Raw genomic sequence first — 8259 nt, forward strand, 5'->3', positions numbered from 1 at the left:
CCTAAATCATCTCTCTCAAGTTTAAATCTTTAGGGCAGAGGCACAATACCTCTAACCTCTTTGCTAATGCATAACAAAACTGACCTTTGTTCTAGTTCCCAATAAGTTCCTCTTCTCCATCTAAGACCACCTCAGCCTGGACTTCATTGTCCATATCACTATCAGTACTATCAGCATTTTGGTCACAATAATTTAAGAAGTCTTTAGGAAGTCCCAAACTTTCCCTCGTCTTTCTTTCTTCTTCTGAGCCCTCCAAACTGTTCCAACCTCTGCCTGTTACCCTGTTCTAATGTCACTTCCACATTTTCAGGTATCTTTATAGCAATGCCCCACTCCTATGTAACAATTTTCTGTATTAGTCCATTCTCGCATTGCTATAATTACCTGAGACTGGGTAATTTATAAAGAAAAGAGGTTTAATTGACTCACAGTTTCACAGACTTCACAGGAGGCATGGCTAGGGATGCCTCAGGAAACTTACAATCATGGCAGAAGGCAAAGAGGAAGGAGGCACAACTTACATGGCCAGAGCAGGAGGAAGAGAGAGAAGGAGGAGGTGCTACACACTTCTAAACAACCAGATATTGTGAGAACTCACTATCAGGAGAACAGCAATGGGGAAATCTGCCCTCATAATCCACTCACCTCCCACCAGACCCATCCTCCAACACTGGGGATTATAATTCAACACGAGATTTGGGAGGGGGACACAGATCCAAACCATACCACACAATCACCTCTGTGGCTACCACCACTGGGACTGCACTGGGTCTTGCCCAGAGCCCTATCCAGGCCCAGAGATGCTATCCAGAAGCCAGGGCCTGAAGAAATCTACCTGGTGCTCTATTCTACTGCAGCTGAGCTGGAGCGGAAACCACCCTATCCTTCCCACTCTTCCCTTCTCTTTCCATAGACAGAGGAGTTTCTCCCCATGTCTGCCACCACAGGCCCCAGAGAATACTGCCAGGGTACTGTCAATGTTCACTTAAGGCCCAAGAGCTCTTCAGTAAGCTCATGGTGAATGCTGCCAGGCCTGGGCCTTACTCTTCAGGGCAGTGGGCTCCCCTCTGTTAGGTTCAGAGATCTCATCCAACAGCCAAGACCTGTACTTAGGGACGTAAAGAGCCTGCTTGGTGCTCTTCTCCACTGCAGCCAAGCTGGTATCTAAGCTCAAGACAAAGTCACCTTTACTCTTCTTTTTGCTTTTCTCAAGCAGAAGGGGGTTTCTCCTCATAGCTACCACAACTGTAAATGTACTGAGTCACACCTGAACCTAGCACATCTCAGAGTCTCACCCAAGGCCCACAGCGTGTACTAACTGGTTACTGCTGCTGATTATATTATTCAGGACCCAAGGGATCTTTAGTCATCTAGTGATAAATCTTGCCAGGACTGGGTCCTTCCTTTCAAGGCAGCAGTTTCCCTTCTGTGCCAGGGTGTGTTTAGAAATGTTGTCCGTGAGCTAGGGTCTTGAATGGGGGCTTCACAACTCTGCCCGGTGCCCTATCCTTCTGTGGCTGAGGTGGTATCCAAGTTGCAAGACAAAGTCCTCTTTACTCTTTCCTCCCCTCAAGTGGAAGGAAGGGGTCTCTTTTAGAGCTACAAGTTGTACTGCCTGGGGTTGGGGGAGGAGTGACATAAGCATTCCATTAGGTTCCCTGGCTGGCTGGCCTAGTGATATCACTAGGTCAAATGCTCCCAAAGTCCACTGGCTCTGAAACACACCCAGCACCAGGACTTGCCTAGGAATTGCAGTCCTTGTGACCCATTCAGACTTTAAAGTTTTTGTAGAACCCCAGAGCATTTTAGCCCATGGTGAGCCTTGCTGAAACTCAAGTTCTGACTGCTGGGATGGGTGATTCCCCTCTGGCTAAGGCAGGTCTAAATGCTCCCTCTGAGAGCACTGACCGAATTCTGCCCAGGGTTGACAGCACTGCTTTCCAATGCAAAGCCTCACAATCGCTGCACTCTCCCTCCTCCAAGCACACAGATTCTCTCTGTACCACACAGCCAGCCATTGCTGGGGTGATGGAGAAGGGGTGGTGTCAGCAATTCAAGACTATCTTTCCTATTCTCTTCAGTGCATCTTTCAGCAATATGATGTTAAAACCAGCTACTGTGATTGCTCACCTGAATTTTGGTTCTTATAAACGTGCTTGTTTATGTACATAGCTGTTAAATTTGGTGTTCCTGCAGGAAGTACAATTGGTGGAGGCTTCTGTTCTGCCATCTTTCTCTGCCTCCTCAGGTTGTGGTTTTGCAGAGTCTTTTGTGACAGTTCTTGTTATCAGGCATTCCTGCATGAGTCCCTCCTGTCATGGCCTTTTCTTGCTCCATTTGTTAGAATTTTTTATGCAAGTGACTCCATTTTTATTCTGAAAAATTTCACAGTCCAACAAACCATCAGTACTTTTTGATTAGGCTTAGAATAAAAGAGATTTAGTATTATGACCATCATAATAAATAGCCAAGAAAGTTACTGACACATTTTCTTATTCTCCACCCCAAAGCACCCTACAACATCCCAGAGGATGGGTATAAAGGATAAAATATGGGAAACCAAACGTGTAGCAGCAGCTAAGTATGTCTGATTCTCCTAGGTGGGAAACAGCGTCTTGTTAAGGAAACAGCAATCTTGGAAAACATGAAAAGAAAACTCCAAGTTTCTTCTGCAAGGAACCATGCTAAGTCTATAAATAGCACCCTCTTGTTATTTATCTCTACAACAGCCTCTGCTTCACTCCTGGCAAGCCTATTTGGCATCGTCAAAGAAAATCAGAACTGGACAGCAGTTAAAGGGGCAGCAAAAGTAATTTATTTAGGAACTATTGCAGTGAGAGGTAAAATAGATAGAACTCTGCTCAATACTGAACACAACAAGGAAAAGTAGGGAGTTTACCAAAGCAGCATGGTGGGTCAGTGAATGGAAAATTACTATGAAGGTAGGGTAATTTTTGCTAAACTGACCTTGGAGGATTCTTGCTGCAGGCAGGCCAAGGTGATCAAATATCACCTGGGGAATGGTGGGAGAATAAGGAATTTGATCAGATTTGAGGGTGATCAGGTATTTAGGGTGGGAATTCTGGCTAAACCCACTCAACAGGATTTTTTTTCTAAAACTGGGCAACACAGGACAACACAGAAGCCCAAAGTCAAGGTCTAGTTGAGAAGAGGGCTCAGAGGAACCTGCCTAAAGTGTGGTCAAGGAGGTAGTCTTTGTCTAGATATAGAGGTTAATGAGACAGAATCCCAGACCCAAAGAGCTTGCCTTTTAGTGTGGGAGCCAGACAAGGCACATGTTTTTTAAAAAAAGAATCAATATGACAGTTTCAAGGACTAATAAGAGTCATAGGCTGAGTGCGATGGCTCACACCTATAATTCTGGTGCTCTAGGAGGCCAAGGCAAAAGGTTTGATTGAAGCCAGGAGTTCAAGACCAGCCCGAGCAACATAGTGAGATGCCATCTCCCAGAAAAATAAACATAGAAAAATTAGCTGGGTGTAGGGTCATCCTCCTGTAAGTCCTAGCTACTTGGCAGGATTGTCCGAGCCCAGGAGTTGAGGTTACAGTGAGCTATGATCTTGCCACTGCTGGACTCCAGTCTGGGTGACAGAGGAAGAGAAAGACCCCATCTTTAAAAGAAAAAAAAAGTTGTTGACAAAATAAATGAAATTAAATGGCAAAGAGAGAGTTGGCAGTGAGGGTACTATCACAGGGTGCTCACCTCTAAGTTTCAGTGGGACATGAATGATAAGAAGACAGGCATGACAAAAACTGGCAAAAAGCATTCCCCAGTGAAGAAAAGCGAGTGGAAAAGCCCTCAGATGGGCACAAGCCTGGCCTGGAAAGGGGCAGGAGGAAGAGCAACGTGGTTGGTTCTTAGGGAACAGAAAGAGGATGAGGAGACAAGCAGGAGCCAGGAAGTCTGGGCCTTTCTCCTTCTCTTTGCCACTTCCAGTAAATTCACTAGGTGCTCACTGGTCTGCCTTGATCCTGGCAAGGACTCACAGCCTAGTTATCTCATTTCTGTTCCCTAAAGATCATCCTGCTAGGACGTGGCTTAGGACTTAGGACTTATTCCAGCTACTAACAGGAAGGAACAAGACAGAGCACGAAAGTGAAATAAAAATGGTTTGAAACACTTTCAGTGAATGAATGTTGCCATTTGAGTGTCAGTTAGAGGATTTCCCAGAAAACTTACAGTTGTGGCCTTCCTGTCCTACAGTTTCCCCTCCTAGGGGAACTTCACTTACTCCACAAGGCTAAGGGGAACAATTGAGAAAACATGGGTTTGGGTAAGTTGTCGTTTTTACAAATCTCCTTTCTCTTTATCTTTAAAATAAAGGTTGTTGCAAGATTGGATTACATAATCTGTGCAGTTAATTCCTGGTGTACAGAGCTCCACATGGAAGGAGTTCAGAGGTGCTCCCCAGGGCCTTAGCGCTCCTGCCCATCCCAGCCACTGACGATCATGTCTACATCTCTTCAGTCCTGTGCTGATGTTTCTCGAGGATTATGGTCTAGTTGGCACAACAGTGAGGCTTCTGGGTTTTTATATTTAACCATTTCATGCCCATCTTCGTGAAAGTTATAGCCTTGTCCTATTTCAGTCACAGCAACTTTGCATAAATGCTTGAAAAGCTGGGTTTTGCAGCACCAAGCAGGCAATTTACACACATATATAAAGCAGTCTTCTAGTTGATGAATACAAATCAGACAGTTTAGTCAGCTTGATCTTAACTACAGTGGCATAAGACAGGCGTATGTTTACCTATTGGAAGGAAAATTCTCCTTCTCTTTGCCACTTCCAACAAATTCACCTGGTGCTCACTGGTCGTCCACAAGATTTCTTTTAGGTTTTTCTTCATATTGAAAGAGGCTCAACTTATATGATAAATTTTATTAGCTAGCACTAAAAGAAATAAGTAACCCTGAAGTCAAAGCTTTAAATATGAAAAAAAATAAGGCATGAGATTCTTTTAGTAAATGGGATGCAGGATATGTAATGTTTCTTGGCCAGCTACAAAGTTAATTGATTTTCCTACCTATTGAGGGTTCACCTGTCAACTTCCAGAGGCACTGCACAATGTCCAGCACCTGAGGAGATGTGTAATTCAGAACAAATAAGAAGGTGTTCTTCCCCAACTCTTACTCTTTTCCTCCTGCCTTATATCCCAGGAAACTGTTGGATTGATGGACCGAGAACCATTATTTCTGGAGCAGTGCATAAGAGAAGGGAGAACCTGTATGTGGTAACAGAGGCCACAGAACTGATCAGCACTCCTGTGCTAAAGGACAATAGCAGTATGATTGATTTCAGCAAATGTCCATCCTTGGAATACTTATGTCAAGATACAGAGCCACTGACTGAGTGTTGTGGCTCACACCTGTAATCCCAGTAATTTGGGAGGTCAAGGTGAGAGGACTGCTGGGGCCCAGGAGTTCAAGATCAGCCTGATCAAATGTGGCAAGACTCTGTCTCTACAATTTTTTTTTTAATTAGCCAGGCATGCTGGTACATCCCTGTAGTCCCAGCTACTCAAGAGGCTGAGGTGGGAGGATCACTTGAGCCCAGAAGATCATGGCTGCAATAAGCTGTGGTAGTGCCACTGTACTCCAGCCTGAGAGACAGACCAAGATTCTGTTTCACAAAAAAAAAAAAAAAAAAAAAAAAAAAAACACAGAGCCACCCTAAAGTGGAATGGGGATACCAAGAGCAAGCCAGCCCAGCCTCACTTCCAAGAGGGGACTGGATCCTAATCAGGACCTGTTTCTGGGAGGTCAGAAGGGGTGGGGTAATTATTTCCCACTTCTTGGGTGCCATGAAAACCTGACTCCTGTCCTGAGACTATATTCTAACATTCTCATTTATAGTGCTTTAATATATGAGATTATTCAGTATTGATAAAATTGAAAGTCAATTTAATTATGTGATACTACATTTTGCTTTGGGTAAATGATGGATTCTAGAAGATCTAAAGGGGTGGCTGCTATATTACCTACATGTTTGGTTTTATAGCTGGAAAAAAAAATAAGGAACCAACAGCAACAAACCTTCACAGTTAAAGTACCCTAAATGCTATAACATCCTGAGCAGAAATGTTTTATGGCATGAGACTGAAAAATCTTCAAGCACATGTGATTTACCTAAGTCACTCACAATAACCAACTATAATATTTTAAATTAACTTAACCAAATGCATTTATCAAATGTGTATTCACTTAAAGAGTATGCTAGGGACATAGAAAGTTTGTGAGTGTGTGTGTGTGTGTGTGTGTGTTACAATATTAAATAATATGCAATGTATTTTATGTGTCATTTGTCTGCACTTAAGAGCTTTAGAAACTAAAGAAAAGTAACTGGGAAGTGAAATGACCTTCCCAAGTTTAGTTGGTGAGTTACTCCTAGAAGAGGACTCGCCAAGGTTTGTGAGTTAGTCCCGCAAGAGGCACAGGCCCCACTGAGGTCTTTTGATTCCAAGCCCCATAAACAAAGGCACTTAAACCAAATAAAACATCACTCTCGTTTGAGATTGCTTTGATACCTAGCTTTAGGTTTCCACCTCCTTGAAATGGTGGACTGGGCTTTGTGAGAAGGAGGCAGAAGCCCTGTATTTTTCACACAGGGCAGCTGCTCAGCTGAAGTGGTACACTTTGGTTCTTTTCTCTTCTGTGTGTATTTTCCATAGGTATTTTCTTTTTTTTTTTATTATACTTTAAGTTTTAGGGTACATGTGCACAATGTGCAGGTTTGTTACATATGTATACATGTGCCATGTTGGTGTGCTGCACCCATTAACTCATCATTTAACAAAATATCTCCTAATGCTATCCCTCCCCTCCTCCCTTCCCCCACCCCACAACAGGCCCCAGTGTGTGATGTTCCCCTTCCTGTGTCCACGTGTTCTCATTGTTCAATTCCCACCTATGAGTGAGAACATGCGGTGTTTGGTTTTTTGTCCTTGCGATAGTTTGCTGAGAATGATGGTTTCCAGCTTCATCCATGTCCCTACAAAGGACATGAACTCATCATTTTTTATGGCTGCATAGTATTCTATAGGTATTTTCTTTGTGGTTATTACCACAAGGATTACATAAAATATTTTATAACTACAACTGTGGATTATAGGCTGGTAACAATGTAACTTTAATTGGATAATAAAACTCGACACTTATTTCTCTCATCACTACACTTTACATTCTTCATGTCAGAGTTTATGTCTTTTTAAGATATAACATCTTTGTCACTCAGGCTGGAGTGCAGCAGCACGATCACAGCTCACCACAGCCTTGAACTCTTGGGCTCCAGTGATCCTCCTGCCTCAGGATCCACAGTAGCAGGAATTATGGGTACACACCACCACACCGGTTAATTTTAAAAGAATTTTTTAGAAGTGGGGTCTGATATGGTTTGGAATGCATCCCCTCCAAATGTTGAACTGTGATCCCTAATTTGGAGGTGGAACTTGGTAGGAGGTATTGGATAATGAAGGTGGATCCGTTGTGAATGGCTTAGTGTCACCAGGTTGATGATGAGTGAGTCCTCACTATTTGTTTACATGAGTGCTAGTTGTTTAAAAAGGCCTGGCACCTCTTCCTCTCTCTCTCTCTCACTTCCTCTCTCACCATGTGACACACCTGCTCCCCCTTTACCTCCTGCCATGAGTAAAAGCTTCCTGAGGCCTCACTAGAAGCCAAGCAGAAGCTGGTGCCATGTTTATACAGCCTGCAGAATCATACGCCAAGTAAACCCTTTTTATTTATAAATTACAGTTATTTCTTTATAACAATGTAAAATGGACTAATACAGGAAGGAAATTGGTGTTGAGGGATGGGACATTGCTATAAAAATACTTGAAAATGTGGAAGCAGCCTTGAAACTGGGTAATGGGCAGAGGTTACACAAGTTTGGAGGGCTCAGAAGAAGAAAGAAAGACAAGGGAAAATTTGGAACTTCTTAAAGACTTGTTAAGTTGGTTGTGACCAAAATGCTGATGGACAGTGAAGGCTAGGCTGATGAGGTCTCACATGGAAATTAGAAACTTAATGAGAACCGAAGCAAAGGTCACCTTGTTATGCCCTAGCAAAGAACTTGGCTACATTATGTACATGTCCTAGGGATTTCTAAGCAGGGAGTATTCAAGATGTAGCCCAGCTGCTTCTAACAGCCTATGATCAAGTATGGGAGCAAATGAATGACTTAAGGTTGGAACTTACATTTAAAAGGGAAACAGGGCATAAAAGTTTGGAAAATTTGCA

The sequence above is a fragment of the Homo sapiens genome, chromosome 8 (genome assembly GCF_000001405.40).
Source record: "Homo sapiens chromosome 8, GRCh38.p14 Primary Assembly".
Taxonomy (NCBI): Eukaryota; Metazoa; Chordata; class Mammalia; order Primates; family Hominidae; genus Homo; species Homo sapiens.